The 19,491-nt window shown below is 40.0% G+C and overlaps 1 protein-coding gene across 3 annotated transcripts in view; it reads right to left on the reverse strand.

The window, feature by feature from the left end:
* Positions 1–19,491, reverse strand: part of SNX4 (sorting nexin 4) — a 73,553-nt gene that overhangs the window by 11,801 nt on the left and 42,261 nt on the right. For 2 of the 3 annotated variants that reach the window (NR_073435.2, NM_003794.4), the window contains 3 exons: positions 18,245–18,306; positions 11,004–11,069; positions 2,321–2,410 (listed from right to left, as the gene is read on the reverse strand). Coding sequence is in view for 2 of the 3 variants with exons in the window: in NM_003794.4 (NP_003785.1) it covers positions 2,321–2,410; positions 11,004–11,069; positions 18,245–18,306 (218 nt within the window). In the remaining variant the exon portion in view is untranslated. Of the gene's footprint in view, positions 1–2,320; positions 2,411–11,003; positions 11,070–12,115; positions 12,212–18,244; positions 18,307–19,491 lie in introns of all 3 variants that reach the window. The other variant, XM_017007414.3, reaches the window with a different exon arrangement.

The raw sequence follows: 19,491 nt of genomic DNA on the forward strand, positions 1-19,491 counted from the left end.
GAGCCATGTCGCCTGGCCTAGAAATGTTTATTAGTTTTTATGATCATAAAAGTAATCCATGTTCACTGTAAAAAGAAAAGATTCGGATGGGCGCGGTGGCTCATGCCTGTAATCCCAGCACTTTGGGAGGCCGAGGCGGGTGGATCACGAGGTCAGGAGATTGAGACCATCCTGGCTAACACGGTGAAACCCCGTCTCTACTAAAAATACAAAAAAAGCCGGGAGAGGTGGCAGGCGCCTGTACTCCCAGCTACGCGGGAGGCTGAAGCAGGAGAATGGCGTGAATCCCGGGGGGCGGAGCCTGCAGTGAGCCGAGATCACGCCACTGCACTCCAGCCTGGGTGAAAGAGCGAGACTCCGTCTCAAAAAAAAAAAAAAAAAAAAAAAAAAAAAAAGAAAAGAAAAGATTCTAATACAGCAATGCACAAAGTAAAAAAAAGAGGCTGGGCATGGTGGCTCATGCCAGTAATCCCAGCACTTTGGGAGGTCGAGGTGGGCAGATCACCTGAGGTCAGGAGTTCAAGACCAGCCTGACCAACATGGTAAAACCCCATCTCTACTAAAAATACAAAAATTAGCCGGGCATGGTGGTGCATGCCTGTAATCCCAGCTGCTTGGGAGGCTGAGGCAGGAGAATCACTTGTACCCAGGAGGCAGAGGTGGCAGTGAGCAGAGATTGTGCCACTGTACTCCAGTCTGGGCAACAGAGTGAAACTCCAACTCAAAAAAATAAAAAAAACAAAATACAACAAGAAAGTTCAAGAACACTCTCTTTCCTCCAATCCCACTATCCAGATATAATCGGTGTTACCAGATAGTATATAATCTTTCAGAATTTAGCTAGGCATTGACAAATACCATATCCATGCACCCCAAATGGTTCCTACATCTTTTCTCAAATGGCTATACACCCTGGCCATCTTTCCATGTCAACATACATTAATCCCTTTTATAATTTTTAAGAGCTGCAGAGAATTCCACTGTACTCAGCAACTTTCTTTTTTGAGACAGAATCTCACTCTGTCACCCAGGCTGGAGTGTAATGGTGCGATCTCGGCTCACTGCAACCTCCACCTCCCCTGTTCAAGCAGTTATTCTGCCTCAGCCTCTCCAGCAGCTGGGATTACAGGCACCCACCACTATGCCTGGCTAACTTTTTTGTAATTTTAGTAGAGACGGGGTTTCACCATGTTGGCTAGGCTGGTCTCGAACTCCTGGCCTCAGGTGATCCATCCGCCTTGGGCTCCCAAAGTGCTGGGATTCAGGCAGGAGCCACCTCACCTAGCCAACTTTCTTTTGCTTGGTGACTTGAAAATACATTGGTGAGACTTCCTACTACTCAAAGCCCTAGAAGGAAAACGAGCTAACAATGTGCAGATGATTTCACACCAATCACCACAGAGGTAAGGGAATAGTGCTCTTGTTTTCCTAACAGAATTCTTATACTGCTTTTAAAAGCGACAGGACAGTGTTGGCTCATGCCTGTAATCCCAGCACTTTGAGAGGCCGAGGCGGGTGGATTACCCGAGGTCAGGAGTTTGAGACCAGCCTGGCCAACAACGGTGAAACCCTGTCTCTACTAAAAATACAAAAATTAGCTGGGTGTGTTGGCGGGCGCCTGTAATCCCAGCTACTCAGGAGGCTGAGGCAGGAGAATAGTTTGAACCCGGGACGTGGAGGTTGCAGTGAGCCGAGATCACGCCACTGCACTCCAGCCTGGGTGACACAGCCAAACTCTAGTCTGTCTCAAAAAAAAAAAAAAAAAAAAGTGACAGGACAACTGACCAAAAGCCACCTATTCTGGGAAAATAATTCCTTTTTCTAAACTGATCAGAAAAAAATATATTAACTTTTTCCTAGTCACGTAGGACTATCTAAAAGAGAATTCCCTTTGGCTCTGTAAAAGATAACATAAGAACAGATAAGAAAGTCCTTGTTACATAAGGACGTTGTACAAGCTACTGATAAGACACACAGAATAAAAATAGCAATATACAACATAGTAACAGATACTGTTACACACACTGAATCTGTATTTTGCTTCCAATCTTCAAACTGGAAAAAGTGGAAACAACAACATACAGGCACACTTGATGCCTGAGGCTGGCAGGTTTTATCAAAATGATGCTTCGAGGGCAGGCCTCATCTTACATGTTTATGCCTAGCACTCTGCAACACAGAGAAATACAATGAGACCTCATTCATTATCTGAGGGAATGCATTCATTTAAAAAACACTCTACTATCTGTACTTTACAGTGGCATATGAGGAGAGTGGTGAACAACCCTGTGGCTGCACCTGGAACTTTTATTAAACTTACCGCAATGCTTCTGCATAAAAAAGATACTCTTTTAACTGATCTGCATAATGTTCTTCATCTTCCAAAATATCATCAATAGAAGATGCATACCTGTTTTAAAAAAAAAAACACACATTGCATAGAGTTACTTTCATTGGAATACAAAGTATTAGGGTTCTAGAGAAGTGCAATTAGGCTGGGCGCAGTGGCTCACACCTGTAATCCCAGCACTTTGGGAGGCCAAGAAGGGCAGATCACTTGAGGTCAGGAGTTCGAGACCAGCCTGGCCAACGTGGTGAAACCCTGTCTCTACTAAAAATACAAAAATTAGCCGGAAGTGGGGGCGGGTGCCTGTAATCCCAGCTACTTGGGAGGCTGAGGCAGGAGAATCTCTTGAACCCGGGAGGAGGAGGTTGCAGTGAGCCAAGATCATACCAGTGCACTCCAGCCTGGGTGACACAGCAAGACTCTGTCTCAAAAACAAACAGACAAACAAACAAACAAAAAACAGCAATTCTAAGTGTGGCCCACAGATAATTTGCTACCCATCAGTGATGTTGTAAGTACAGACAGTGAGAATTAGCGTTTAGAATCACTGACAGCAATGTGTAATTACCATGATGATTTTATTGAATTTTACCAAAATGTTTTGGTCAGCAATGACTTAGAAATAAACAAACAAAAAAATGGTCTTTTTCATAGGCAGTTTAAGAAGCTTGTAAGACTGTAATATCTTTTGTTCAAAGACATACATAAAAGGGCTACAAAATCTGTAGAAAGAATAAGAGTTTGGTATAATTGGTATACATATGTTCTTGGTTGCAATTATTTATTATAATGATGCCAAATAGCTACAAAAGAAAAAGTAGAGTAAATAAAGGTTGGAGAAAATTTTAGAAGCTTATTTTATACTAATTTTTTTTTTTTTTTGAGACGGAGTCTCACTTTGTCGCCCAGGCTGGAGTGCAGTGGCGCGATCTTGGCTCACTGCAAGCTCTGCCTCCCGGGTTCACGCCATTCTCCTGCCTCAGCCTCCCAAGTAGCTGGGACTACAGGTGCCTGTCACCACGCCCAGTTAATTTTTTGTATTTTTAGTAGAGAAGGGGTTTCACCGTGTTAGCCAGGATGGTCTCGATCTCCTGACCCACTCGCCTCAGCCTCCCAAAGTGCTAGGATTACAGGCGTGAGCCACAGCGCCCGGCCATTTTATACTAATTCTTAATAGCAACCTCTGCTTTGATTGGGAGACTCCCTCAATGTCATCCCAGTTTCATTCCTGCGCATGAGTCTTCATTTGTACAGAATGTGATGGCTCCCACATTGCTTCTCCAAACCATACAAGCACATGTCTCAACACCTCTAGGAAATTTTCCCAGACTGCTTTAGTCTTTAGTCATCATTCTACTTTCGTTCCCTTATCAACAATTTGAACTTAAATTTTATCAAAGTCATATCCCATGTGTTGGTTTTTTTAAAAGTGATTCTTATTTATTTGAATTATCTATTTGTTGAGCATCTACAATGTGCCAATTGATAGGCTGACTGTGACAAATCTAGTGACAAGAGAAAACTCGGTACTAAAGCCAGGGCAGATGGAAAAGCTGTAACTGGAGATTGTACACTAGAACCCAGGAGTTCGAGACCAGCCTGGGCAACATGGCAAGACCCTGTCTCTACAAAAAATACAAAAATTAGCTGGACATGGTAGTGCATGCCTATAGTCCCAGGTGCTCAGGAGGCTAATTTGGGAGGAATGCCTGAGCCCAGGAGGTCCAAGGCTGCAGTGAGCTGTGAATGTGCCATTGTATTCAAGCTGGGGTGACAGAGTTAGACTCTGTCTCACCAAAAAAAAAAAAAAAAAAAAAAAGAGAGAAGAAACCATAGCTGATACAAGGTATTGTAATTTAATATAAAATTGTATGAAATACATGGCAAGTTGCAGTTTATCAGATACATTTAATTACACACACCATTCCACTGTTTAGTTCCTTTTAGATTGACATTAGATAAGGAATTACCAGATCTAGATAATGCAGGACAAGTGAGCCCCAAAATTGGAGGTTAGCCCAGGAGGGTTATCAGCTTCGCCCAGGAAAGAATTCAAGGGTGAGCCGGTGGTGTCAGGTGGAAACCTTTTATTGAAGAGCACTGCTCCTTGAGGAGCAGGACTAACTCATAGGCAGTACACCTAGAGTCGGCCTCGTGTGTTGGTTTTATTTCTCTGATAGCATTGTAAATTCCATAAGGACAGGGGCTATGTGTATGTACTACTTCTGTGTGATACAACAGGTATCCTTCTTTCAAATTAATTCTGGTTCCTTCGCATGGACACACTTTATGTCTCTAGACCTGCCTCATCAAGTTTATTGAAGTTGTAAGACAAAATAAACAAAACTATGCTAAGGGTCATTTGAAAAGCAATGTGCTTACAGGATTTATGTAAGCAGTGAACATATACATTCTGTAAGTACAAACTTACAGCTATGAGAGTGAATAATTTCTTATATGTGACTGGAAAAAAGTCTTGAGAATCACTATTAAGAGTAGGAAAACCTGCCTTTAGTTCCTAAGTCTATGATTCTGGAAGAGTTAATGTGAAGAAAACAAAGAGGACTTGTGGCCTGAAGATAGGAAACACAGTGTAGGGAGAAACTGGAACATCCTAGGGTGGGGAAGTATAAATGATAAAGATTTTTAGATCTCAGTACTCAGAATTTTATTTAACACTTTCATAAATCAACTGAAGGGATAATCCTAAATTCTTGGAAACATTGAAATGCCAAATCAAGAGACCACAGGACAACTTAGGGTTAAACAAAATAGTTGAAAAAAGTAGCTAGTTGGTTTGGAACATGGCCTAAGGAAAAGTAATATTTAGATAAACACATTTTTTCTTTTTTCTCTCCTAGCTTTAAAGTATAATTAAAGAACTGTATGTATTTACAGTGTACAATGTGATGTTTTGATGTATGTATACATCATGAAATGATTAAATGAAGCTAATTAACATATCCATCACCTGACATACTTGGCATTATTTTTGTGGTGAGAATATTTAAGATCTATTTTTTGTCTTTTTGAATCACAGGAGTTCTTTCTATACTATGGTTAGAAATGTTTGCTCCTATACTTGCTTCTTCACTGTCTTAATAGTGTCGCTTTTTAAAAAATAGTAAAGGCCTGGCGGGGTGGCTCATGCTTGTAATCCCAGCACTTTGAGAGGCTATGACGGTGGATTACTTGAGCCCAGGAGTTTGAGACCAGCCTGGGTAACACAGTGAGACCCTGTATCAATTTATATTAAAATTTTAAAAAATAGTAAAACATACATAATATAAAATTTACCTTGTTAATAATTTTTAAGTATACAACTCAGTGGTATTAAGTATATATACACTGTTGCATAATCATTACCACCACCCACCTCCATAATTTTCTCATCGTCTGCAACTGAAACTCTGCACCCCATTTAACTCTCAATTTCTTGCTCCTTCAATGGTATCAAATGGTAAATTGGTCATCAAAATTTAAACAAAAATTTTAAATTTGATGAAGACCAATTTGCCATTTAAAGTAATTTTTTCTTTTCATATCCTTCTTAACAATGTTTTCCACTATAAGCTATACTTTTACCTTTTACAATTATGTGTATGAGCCGAATTGAATTAGTTTTGTGTCAAGTGTAAGATAAGGCTCAAGGTTTTTTTTTTTCCATGTAGATATCCAGTTATTCCAACACCATTTGTTGAAATGAGCTATAGAAGTGTGAGTCTATTTCTGTACAGAATTCTGTTCCATTGATCTATTTATCTTTCTTTTTTTTTTTTTTTTTTTTTTTTTTGAGACACAGTCTCACTCTCACCCAGGTTAAAATGCAGTGACAGGATCATGACTCAACTGCAGCCTTGACTTTCTGGGCTCAAGTGATCATCCCACTTCAGCCTCCCGAGTAGCTGGGAGTACAGGTACATGCCACCACTCCCTGCTAATTTTTGTAGTTTTGGTTTTTTTGAGACAAAGTCTTGCTCTGTCACCCAGGTTGGAGTGCAGTGGTGCAATCTTAGGCTCACTGCAACCACTGCCTCCTTGGGTTCAAGTAATTCTCCTGCCTCAGCTTCCTGAGTAGCTGGGACTACAGGTGCACATCACCACACCTGGCTAATATTTATATTTTTAGTAGAGACAGGGATTCACCATGTTGACCAGGCTGGTCTTAAACTCCTGACCTCACATAATCCACCCACCTTGGCCTCCCAAAGTACTAGGATTACAGGCTTGAGCCACCATGCCGGGCCTAATTTTTGTAGTTTTTTGTAGAGACAGGGTTTTGCCATGTTGCCCAGGCTGATCTCAAACTCCTGGACTCCAGGGATCTACTCACGTTTGCCTGCCAAAGAGCCGGGATCACAGCATGAGCCACTGTACCTGGTCAATCTGTTTAACTTTATGCCAATACCTCACTATCTTCATAACTTAGCTTTATAGTAAATCTTTTTTTTTTTTTTGGGAGGTGGGGACAGAGTTTCACTCTTGTCACCCAGGCTGGAGTGCAATGGTGCAATCTCGATTCACTGTAGCCTCCGCCTCCTGGGTTCAAGTGATTCTCCTGCCTCAGCCTCCTGAGTAGCTGGGATTACAAGCGCCTGCCACCACACCTGGCTAATTTATTTTGTATTTTTAGTAGAGATGGGGTTTCGCCATGTCAGCCAGGCTGGTCTTGAGCTCCTGGTCTCAGGTGATTCACCCGCCTCAGCCTCCCAAAGTGCTGGGATTACAGGTGTGATACACTGTGCCCGGCCTAGTAAATCTTGAAAGTAATATATTCCAGTTTTGTTCTTTGTCAAGATTGTTGTAGCTATTCTAGGTTCTTTAAATGTCCATATAAACTTTTACTTTTTATTTTATTTTTTTGAGACAAAGTCTCACTCTGTCACCTAGGCTGGAGTGCAGTGGTGTGGTCTCGGCTCACTGCAACCTCTGCCTCCCGAGTTCAAGTGATTCTCCTGCCTCAGCCTCCCAAGTGGCTAGGACTATAGGCATGCGCCACCACACCCGGCTAATTTTTGTATTTTTAGTAGAGACAGGGTTTCACCATGTTGGCCAGCCTGGTCTCAAACTCCTGACCTTAAGTGATCCACCTGTCTCGGCATCCCAAACAGCTGAGATTAAAAGTGTGAGCCATTGTGCCCGGCCCATGTAAACTTTAGAATTAGCAATTTGGGGAGAACTGACATCTTAACAATGCCTTCCAATCCATGAACATAGTTTATCTTTCCATTTATTTAGGTTTTAATTTCTCTCAGCAATGTTTTATGTAGTTTTCACTGTAGAGGTCTTTCATATCTTTCATTAAATTAATACCTAAGTTTTATGTTTTGATGTTATCATAAATAGCATTATTTTAAATTTTTTATTTTCAAATTGTTGCTAGTATATAATAGATTTTTAGATATTAAACTTGCATCCTGCATCTTAATTAAATTCAGTTGTTGGTTAGCCATATGCAGATTTAAACTGGACCCCTTCCTGTTATCACATACAAAAATCAACTCAAGATAGACTAAGGACTTAAATGTAAAACCTATAACTATTAACAAAAAAAAAAAAAAGAAAACCTAGTAAATACCATTTGGGACATAGGCTATGGCAAAGATTTCATGATGAAGACTCCAAAAGCAATTGCAACAAAACAAAAAATGACAGTTGGGACCTAATTAAACTAAAGAGCTTCTGCACAGCAAAAGAAACTATAAACAGAGTAAACAGATAACTTACGAAATGGGAGAAGATATTCCCAAACTATGTTATCTGACAAAGGTTTAATATCCAGAATCTATAAGGAACTTAAACAAATTAACAGGCAAAAAACAGCTCAATTTAAAAATGGGCAAAGGAGGCCAGGCGTGGTGGCTCACACCTGTAATCCCACACTTTTGGGAGGTTGAGGCAGGAGAATCGCTTGAACTGGGGAGGAGGAGGCTGCAGTAAGCTGATAGCACCACTGTTCTCCAGCCTGGGAGACAGAGTAAGACTCTGTTTAAAAAAAGAAAAAAAGCCGGACGCAGTGGCTCACGCCTATAATCCCAGCACTTTGGGAGGCTGAGGTGGGCGGATCATGAGGTCAGGAGTTTGAGACCAGCCTGGCCAATATGGCAAATCCCCGTCTCTACTAAAAATACAAAAATTAGCTGGGTGTGGTGGCACATGTCTGTAGTCCCAGCTACTTGGGAAGCTGAGGCAGAAGAATCACTTGACCCCGGGAGGTAGAGGTTGCAGTGAACTGAGATGGTGCCACTGCATTCCAGCCTGGGTGAAAGAGTGAGACTCTGTCTTCCAAAAAAAAAAAAAAAAAAAGGGCCAGGTGCGGTGGCTTACCCCTGTAATCCAAGCACTTCGGGAGGCTGAGTTGGGCAGATCACTCAAGCCCAGGAGTTTGAGACCAGTCTGGCCAAAATGGCAAAACCCTGTCTCTACTAAAAATACCAAAATTAGCCGGGTGTGGTGGTGGGCGCCTGTAATCCCAGCTACTCGGGAGGCTGAGTCAGGAGAATTGCTTGAACCTGGGAGGCAGAGGTTGCAGTGAGCCAAGATTGCGCCACGGCACTCCAGCCTGGGTGACAGAGTGAGACTCCATCTCAGAAAAAATGAAAACAAAAATAAACATAAAAATAAAGGAGTGGGGGGAAGGATATGAACAGATACTTCTCAACAGAAGACATACATGTGGCCAACAAACATGAAAAAATACTCAACATCATTAAATAAATGAAAATCAAAACCACAATGAGATACCATCTCACGCTAGTCAGAATGGTTATTATTATTATTTTTTTTAACTTAAATAACAGAGACTTGTTCTTGCTATGTTTCCCAGGCTGGTCTTGAACTCCTAGGCTCAAGAGATCTGCCCACCTCAGCCTTCTACAGTGCTGGGATTACAGGCGTGAGCCACTGCACCTGGCCAGAATGGTTATTACTAAAAGGTCAAAAAATAACATGCTGGCAAGGTTGCAGAGAAAGAGGAACACACACTGCTGTTGGGAAAGTAAATTAGTTCAGCCACTGTGAAAAGCAGTCTAGAGATTTCTCAAAGAACTTAAAATAGAAGTACCATTCAACCCAGCAGTCTCCCAGTACTGGGTCTATATCCCCCAAAATATAAATTATTCTACCATAAGGATACATGCACGCCTGTGTTCACTGCAGCAGTATTCACAATAGCGAAGACATGGAATCAACCTAAATGCCATGAACGGTGGACTGGATAAAGAAACTGTGGTACATGTATACCATGGAATACTACACAGCCATGTAAGAGAATAGATGCAGCAATAAGGATGCAGCAACATGGATGCAGCTGGAGGCCATTATCCTAAGTGAATTAACACAGGAACAAAAAACCAAGTATCACATATTCTCATTTATAAGTGGGAGTTAAACATTCAGTACACGTGGATTACAAAGAAGAGAACAACAGAAATCAATGCCTACTTAAGGGTGGAGGTTAGGAGGAGGGTGAGAATCGAAAAACCACCTCTCAGGTACTAAGCTTACTGGGTGATGAAATGATCTGTACACCAAATCCCCATGTCAGGCAATTTACAAACCTGCACATGTAACCCCTGAACCTATAATAGAAGTTGGAAAAAATAAAATTAATTCAGTTGTTGGCCAGGTGTGCTGGCTCCCGCCGCTAATCCCAGCACTTTGGGAGGTTGAGATGGGAGAATCCCTTGAGGCCAGAAGTTTGAGACCAGCCTGGGAAACACAGCAAGACCCCATCTCTAAAAAAAGAAAAAAAAAAATTTAATTCAATCTGGGAACAGCGGCTCATGCCTGTAATCCCAGCACTTTGGGAGGCCAAGGCAGGAGGATTGCTTAAGGCCAGGAGTCCAAGATCGACCTGGGCAACATAGCAACACTCTGCCTCTACAAAAAAATAAAAAATAATTAGCCAGGCGTGGTGGCATGCACCTGTAGTCCTAGCTACTTGGGAGGCTGAGGTGGAAGGTGTGCTTGAGCCCAGAAGGTTGAAGCTGCAGTGAGCTGTGATTGTACCAATACCCTCCAGCCTGGGCAACAAAGTAAGACCTAGTCTCTTTAAAAAAAAAAAAAAAAAAAAATCAGTTGTTAGTTCTACAATGTTTTTGGTTGATTGTTTATGGTTTTCTGTGTAAAAGACCTTTCAACTGAAAATATAGTTTTGCTTCTTCCTAATATTTAGGGCTCTTATTTAATTTTCTTGTCTCACCATATTGAGTAGGACCTCCAGTACAATGTTTACTAAAAGCGGCAAGAGCAAACAACCTTGCCTTTTTCTTGACCTTAAGAGAAAGCCTCAATATTTCACTATTAAGTACAATATTGGCTATAAATTTTAGACTGAGAAAATTCCCTTTTATTCCTAGTTGATGAGACTTTTTACTGTAAATGGGTGTTAAAATTCATCAAATGCTTTTTCTACATGTATGGAAATGAACATACCTTCAATGTTTTCATCTTCATTCTGTTAAAATATGAATTAGATGGATTTTCAAATGTTAAACTAACTTTGCATTCCTGAGATAAATTTAAGTCAGATATGTACACATAGAGCGCAATATAAATGCCAGCAAACTTGATAAAAACAGAAGAATAGAAGAGTCACTAATGCTTCACTACAGGACTTCACCTCAGGCTTCACAAAAGTTCTCGAGGTACTTACACATCCATATGATGACCAGCACTCTGCAGTCCATCACCCATTTCTTTTTCTATGGCACTCCATTCACTAGGGAGTAAAAGATAAAACCAAAAGCAACATGCATTAGAGATATGGAATAGTATTAAATGGACTCTTTTCAAGATTCTTGTCTAGCTAGCTTTAAAATAATGTATAGCACCCGTATTTGGGTTTATTTTGTATAACTCAAATATGCTGTTTTCCCCTTAAGTTTAACAACTAAATGTGAAGTGAAGGCTTCAAACGTTGATGCTTGCTGCTAAGCGGAAGGTAAGTATCATACTCAACAGCTTCTGGTTATAGATTACATTCTCAGTTAGGCGGCTGATTTAAATCATTTGTAAAGCTTTTAAAAAATACGGATGCTAGCCCTACTCTTCATCTACTTAATCAGAAGCTGTGGGGATAGAGTGAGACATGTACATTTTTAAATACTCCATGTACGGCTCTGATGAACATACCTGATTACATGCCACTGTTCTAGTAGCTAACAGAAAAAGACAACTGTATAGAAACAGTAGGTGCAGAGTAAAGTTTTAATAATAATAATCATATTACACAAGAAAGCTACTAGAGCCACAGATCATTTTGTTGTCATTTCTGTGAAATGCTTTACATTAAAAATCTTTTTATGGAAGTTATATATGCTTATTATAGTAAACTGGGAAAATAAATCTATAATCCCAAATGCCAAGAGATAACATAATTTGATACACCTCCTTCTAGTCTTATTTGCGTAATTTAAAGTGGCTGAGATCATATGGTATATGTGAGTTTGTGTCATGCTTTTTTTAAATAGTATTTTCCCATACTATTAAAATAATTTGTTCTAAATGTCATTTTAAATGGCAACTCACAATCTTTTTAACCAGTTTCCTGGCTATACAGGTTGTTTCCAATTTTTCTGCTATTTAAAGAATGTATAATAATCATCTTCAATTCCAACATATCATAAAAAATAAAATAGTATTATACTCTTAGTATAGATGAAAACTATGTATCTTTTCCCTAAAAAGTTAAAAAAAAAAAAACAAAAAACACAACATTTTGTGTACAATTTCAGAGACTTCAGACAACCTGAAGTCCACCCTCACCTCTTGGATCTAGAACTCGAACTGAAAAACCACAAGGGTCGCTCTAGTATTTTGTAGCTCCATGAAATTAAAAAAAAGAAAAGACTCCAAGAATGCCTGAAAGTCAAGATTTTGGACAGGAATGAAAAATATTAATTACAACAAAAAGAAAGGTTTAGAGCTAAATTTAGTAACCCAGTCTGGTGTTCATCAAGGATAAAATCTCTAGCCCCAAACAGGTCTGTGCAAATAGGTTCTATTTGTTTATATTTCTGTACGAGACTTTGTTTAAACATAAGAGTTCCAAGCTAAAAAAAGGTTTGAAAATCACTGTCCTCATCTACCCCAACAATTAAGAACAGACACTCAGGCCCAGAAACCTAACATGGTTTACTCAGTCAGGCAGCTGATCAGAGACAGAGCTGAGCCTAGAACCAACCTCCAACAGAGTCCTGTATCTACCAGTCCCAACTTAAGGCACTTAACTTTTTTTGTTGTCTTAGTCAAAAGAGCTTTTTGGCAAGGCATGATGGCTCACGCCTATAATCCCAGCACTCTGGGAAGCCAAGGAGGGCAGATCACCTGAGGTCGGGAGTTCGAGACCAGCCTGACCAACATGGAGAAACCCTGTCTCTACTAAAAATACAAAATTAGCCAGGCATGGTGGCACATGCCTGTAATCCCAGCTACTCGAGAGGCTGAGGTGGGAGAATCGCTTGAACCCGGGAGGCAGAGGTTGCGGTGAGCCGAGGTCGCGCCATTGCACTCCAGTGTGGGCAACAAGAGCAAAGCTCCATCTCAAAAAAAAAAAAAAAAAAAAAAAAAAAGCTTTTCACCACTTACCATACATGTAATTAAAAAATTAAAAATTATAGAATTATTAAACACAAGTACATCTTTGTGTCTTTGAGCTCTGAGGTACATAACAAGTTGGTGTGCCTTTGCACATAGCTTTTTGAAAGAAATGTGTCTATTTTCCTGGAATCTCTTGAAAGGAACTGTAACACTGAATCTGGGAGAGACGGTTACTTTTGGTTGCTTCCATATGGATTCACAACCTATGAATTAAGATGAATATTTTAAAATGTTCAATTAACAGAACACAACATTTTAGGCTATTAGCTCCTCACTGCTTTCATCAGCTTTAAATGCATAGTTACTGGTACTTAAAACTCTTTCCTCCTCTTCTCTAAGTCTTTTGCAGAGTGAACCCCACCTATGTATTTAGTCCATTTCTGCACAGGTGGATCTGAAAGTTCCTGTCTGAGCATGAAACTAGTCCTATAAGCCCCTATGGGGAATAGCCCTTTTTTAGGCTTATCCTAAATTGGGTCAGGTGCTATTAATAAGGGAAGGAGGCTGCAAAAGGCCTAGGGATGTAAGGGCACAAAATAAACTCCTCTACTTAAATGAACAAACAAATAAAACAAACATAACATCAGCAGCACCATGAACATACTACAAAATCTTCCCTGTTTCTTCTCTGTAAGCCTAATTCCTGCTCATTTCTCACCTACATAACATCTGTTGCTTCATGTCAGTCCTTTTCTAGTCACAGCTCAGTCTTTTTTCTTAGTCCATTCTTTCACTCCAACCTCCAATTGCCATAATTTTACAAAAATTACTTAAGGAATATATTGAAAAAATTTCAATTAAGAAAAAAAAGCTGATAAAACCAGCTTTGTATTTCTTCCCCTCTCAAACTGCAAACCAAAGAACAAATTAATTTTTTTTCCGATTATGTGGCCCCCAACTTTTGAATTTTTTCATTACTCTTATAGGTCAGCAGCACCAAAAAGATAAAAACCATCTCCCACAAACTGGCGCTGCTCAGCAATCCTTTCCACATTCCGAAGTGTTGCCTTCATCAGTGCTTCTCAAGCTGGGATGTTTTCATCATGGATATTGGAAGCCATATAATAGACATGGCACACTCTTTCTGAAGAATAAATTTTACTTAAACATTAGTGGGGAAAAATAAACTTTTAAAAATAAATATTAAAGTATCCATACAATGTAGATTTTGCATGAATTGATAAAACTCAAGCCTTCAGAGAGTTCCTGCACTTGGTACAGCTGCTTCTGGCCAATGTCATGTGAATTGGTGAAGGGAGGTAAAGGAGGTTTTGCAGTAGGACAAGTTTAAGTATTATTGGCACCCCTCCCTCCAATCCCCCAAAAGAGAATTCTCTGCACTGTTTGAGACAGACTGCCCAATGTCATTCCCCTCAATCCCCACAACCACACAATTACACAAACTTGTTCTCAAAAAAGATACCTACTTCACGGTGCCTTCTACAACTCACCTCTCCCCTGCCTTAAGACAGCTCTGCACCTTCCCTATCTTCTCCCTTGTCCATGCTCCTATCCCTCCCCTGTCCACCATCCCACCCCAGCCCCAGCCTCTTCTCAAAAAAGTCTTATTACCCTTCAAAAATAACCACAGTTCATCTTTTTCCTCAGGCACTTTTGAAAAAAAAAAATTCAACTTTTATTTTGGACTCAGGAAGTACATGTACATGTGCAGGTTTGTTACATGTGTACACTGGATGGTGTGAAGATTTCAGATACAAATGAGCCCATCACCCACACAGTGAGCACAGCGCCCAATAGTTAGTTTGTCAACCCTTGTCTCCTTCCACCCTCCCTCCCCGCTCTGGCAGTTCCCGGTGTCTACTGTTGCCATCTTCACATCCATGAGTAGGGACTTTCTTAAAAGACTAATCAATAACTTGCTGTCTTTCCTTCCTTAATCCTTTCCTCTTATTCCTAGATCACTAGGACATAACATCATACCACTTAAACTGCTTTCCAAATTAACACCAAAGATGTACTTACCCATTTTCCCCCTTCTCATCTAAACTCAATTCTCTTTTTTGTTTTTTTTTTGAGATGGAGTCTTGCTCTGTCACCCAGGCTGGAGTGCAGCAGCACAATCTCGGCTCACTGCAACCTCCACCTCCTAGTTCAGGCAATTTTCCCACCTCAGCCTCCCAAGTAGCTGGGATTACAGGCACACGCCATCATGCCCGGCTAATTTTTGTATTTTTAGTAGAGATGAGGTTTCACCATATTGGCCAGGCTGGTCTTGAACTCCTGACCTCAAGTGATCTGCCCGCATCGGCCTCTCAAAGTGCTGGGATTACAGGCATGAGCCACTGTGCCTGGCCTAAATTCAATTTCTCTACAGTATAACTCCAAGCATTATTGAAGTGTTCCCTTCACTTGCTTGACTTTGAATACTCCATGTTCCTCATCAATTTCTTGCCTGATCCCTGAACGCAGATATTCCCTTGAGTCTCTTGTAGACTTGCTCTAACCCTCTAATATTATCAACTAACTCTATGTTTTAAAAAATCACTCTATAAGGACACACTTTATATATACAACTCATATTCTCACTAGCTTCTTAAATTCCTGATCCAAATTTCTAACTGCTTAATAAAAATCTTTAGTTAGAATGCAATTTATCCACATGAGAACCCTCAACCTCATCCCTCAAACCCACCATTCCACCTACATTCTCTATCACAAATCCTTAGGCACTCAACTGCCCTAAATTAAATCTTGGTATTCTTGGCACCTACCATGGTAACAGGAGCTCAGTTACCGTATGCTGAATGACTGAAAAAAATCCACTGGTAAGTCTATCATTTAGGTCTCTTTATTCTTCACTGGCAACTGCTGTAGTTCAGGTCTTGATTAAATTACCTCAACCACCTCTGGTCTTTCTGGCTCAGTTGTCGTAAGATGTTTTTATTTATTATCTATTTTTGTTTTTATTTTTTTGAGAGACAGGGTGTTGCTCTGTCACCTGGGCTGGAGTGCAGTGGTGTGATCATAGCTCACTATAACCTTGAACTCCTGGGCTCAAGTGTTCCTCCCATCTTAGCCTCCCAAGCAGCTAGGACTATAGGCATGTGCCACCATGCCTAATTTTTAAACTATTTTTGTAGAGATGGGGTCTTGCTATGTTGCCAAGGCTTGTCTTGAACTCCTGGCCTCAAGTGATCCTCCTTCCTTGGCCTCCCAAAGTGCTAGGATTACAGATGAGAGCCACCACATCCAGCCTCATGAAATTTTTTAAATGTAAAGTGGCTTTCTAATAATTTATTAAGCTGGCAAAAAAAACAAACCTGTACAATATTTATCATGTGGCATTAATGCAAATAATTTTCTTTAAAGTTTGATTCAACCAATTGATCTTTTGTCTACCTGCCTCTCAAATTAATTAAAAAGTTCATTTATTAACTATAATAAATGTGCTACCTTTGAGAATGTTTAGTTTATGTTAATTCCCCCCCACATGTCTCCTATGGGATATAATTTTTGTTTTTAAATAAGCATTGTTCCCAAGCTTAATTGGGTTCCAGTTTGAGTAATACTAAAAATTAGAGATGACTTGTGCATAAAACTAAAAGCAATTAATATTAAGTCAGACAGTATGAGGTAGACTTCAAAACGTATAATACTATTTGTCTTTCTTCCCATTATACTATTCTTTTACAGTTGACCATATATTTTCATAGACCCTGGTCCTAGTTATGAAGAGTTTACATTTTTATAATATCAATAAGCTTCTTTTAATTAAAAAAGTCATATAACCTTGATCTGTCTCAACTGACATTTAATTTTAATGTATTGATCAACCAAAGACATATGGATAACCTACTACTCTAATAAATGAATTAAATAAATTTAAATCTCTATCTCACATCTTACATTCAAATAAATTATAGCTGAATCAAAAATTTATGAAACCACAAAATACAGAAGAAATGAGAATTTTTTTTCCCACCTAGAACCCACCACCTGAGAAAAAATTTTTTTCATTTTTTGAGATGGAGTCTCACTCTGCCGCCCAGGCTGGAGTGCACTGGTGTGATCTCAGCTCACTGCAACCTTCACTTCCTGGGTTCAAGCGATTTTCCTGAGTCAGTCTCCTGAGTAGCTGGGATTATAGGAGCCCACCACCATGCCTGGCTAATTTTTGTATTTTTAGTAGAGATGAGGTTTCACCATGTTGGCCAGGCTGGTCTCAAACTCCTGACTTCAGGTGATCCACCCGCCTTGGCCTCCCAAAGTGCTGGGATTATAGGCATGAGCCACCACGCCTGGCTGAGAAAATTTTTTAATAATCCGAAGTAGGGGACCAGGCATGGTGACTCATGTCTGTAATCCTAGCACTATGGGGGGCCGAAGCCAATGGATCACCTGAGCTCAGGAGGTCAAGATCAGCCTGGGCAACATAGTAAAGTCCCATCTCTGCAAAAAAATACAAAAAGTAGCAGAGCATGGTGATGTGTGTCTGTGGTCTCAGCTACTTGGGAGGCTGAAGCAGGAGGATCACTAGAGCCTGAGAGGCAGAGGTTGCAGTGAGCCAAGACCTACACCACTGCACTCCAGCCTCGGTGACAAAGTGAGACCCTGTATTAAAAAAAAAACCGGGTGCAGTGGCATACACCTGTAATCCAGCATTTTAGGAGGCCGAGGCGGGTGGATCACGAGGTCAGGAGTTCAAGACCAGCCTGGTCAACATGGTGAAATCCCATCTCTACTAAAAATACAAAAAAATAGCCAGGTGTGGTGGCAGGTGTCTGTAATCCCAGCTACTTGGGAGGCTGAGGCAGAGAACTGCTTGAAACCAGGAGGCAGAGGTTGCAGTGAGCTGAGATTGCGCCACTGCATTCCAGCCTGGGCGACAGAGCAAGACTCCATCTCAAAAAAAAAAAAAAAAAAAAAAAGGGCTGGGTGCAGTGGCTTATATCTGTAATCCCAGCACTTTCGGAGGCCTAGGCAGGCAGATCACTTGAGGTCAGGAGTTCGAGACCAGCCTGACCAACACGGTGAAACCCCATCTCTACTAAAAATACAAAATTAGCCCAGTGTGGTGGCGCATGCCTGTAATCCCAGCTACTGGGGAGGCTGAGGCAGGAGAATCACTTGAGCCCAGGAGGCGGGGGTTGCAGTGAGCCGAGATCACATCATTGCATCAGCCTGGGTGACAAGAAAGAAACTCCATCTCAAAAAACAAAAACAAACAAAAAAAGAAATAATCTTCTCTCCACACTCATAAATGTTCAAGAATTATTGTTTTCAGGCAAAAAGGTAATTAAAGCTAATTATTTTTAAAGTTTGTATGATGCTTACCTGAAAACTCGACCATAATTCCCATGTACTTTATATACACCATAGAGTCGATCTGCTACTCTCTGAAATAAATATTTAATAGAAATTGCTTTTAGGTCAAAGTTATATCCTCATCTAAAAAATAGACCCAAAAAACAAAAAACATGCTTACTACAATAAACTTGGAAATAGAAAAAAGAAAAATAGTAATCTCCAAAAATCCCATCCCCCTAAAACTAAAACCAGTGCTCTTACCATATTTATCATATCTTATACTTTTGTACTTCTTTTTCTGCAAAGTTTTTAATTACTGTTTTTAAATTGCCTACAGCAAGAGTGGTAATATGCTTACCCATCAGGTATTTAATAAATACCACTATAAATAGTTGCATAAAATTCCACTAAGTAGTATATAAGACATACAAGCATTCCTTGTTGAATAATCTTGTTGGGATTCAGTTATTCTTAATTTTTCAGTATTATAAAAAGTTATCTCTGAGAATAAGCCTTTTTCCCTCAGATTGTTTCCTTATAATAAAATCCCCAAAGTGGAATTAACCAAGGGAACGGATACATTTTCAATTCTATTGAGATATAGTTTTATATATAAATGCTGAATACATGCATATACTTCTATGCTACTTTGTCAAAAGATAACTCCTAACCAACGAACACATTATTTTAATAACAACAGAATTACAATTTACATCACTGAAATGTGTACTGCCTAGCCATTCACAGAAATTTTACAAGTTAAAACAAAACCTCAATATGGTAATTAATTTGCTTTACGTTCCCCCAAAGCATTATGAAAACAAACTGGAAGACCAAAGGCTCATCCTACAAAAAGCTCTAGAAAAAATTTCTGGTATACAGTTTCTAAGTATAAGCTCTAAGGATAAATTAGCTCCCTGATTCCTTACTCAAACATGAGTATGAGGAATTAGACATTAATGATAGAACAAATCAACCCTTTCAAGATCTCATCTTACAGTGACAGAACCGCCACTGCAAATACTTCAAGTAGGTGTATGAGGATCATAAAATGTTTTCCATCTATTGTTGGCCTGCTCTGAGGAAACACGTACCCACTAGACTAGGGGTTAACACACTACAGGTCTGCCACTTGTTTTGTAAACAGAGTCTCACTGGAGCACTGTCAGGTTCACAGTGGAGCTGAATAGATGCAACAGAAACCATAAAGCTAACAAAGCTGAAAACACCTCCCATCTGGCCTTCAGAAACAAGATGCTGGCCCCTACATTAGA

The sequence above is a fragment of the Homo sapiens genome, chromosome 3 (genome assembly GCF_000001405.40).
Source record: "Homo sapiens chromosome 3, GRCh38.p14 Primary Assembly".
Classification (NCBI taxonomy): Eukaryota; Metazoa; Chordata; class Mammalia; order Primates; family Hominidae; genus Homo; species Homo sapiens.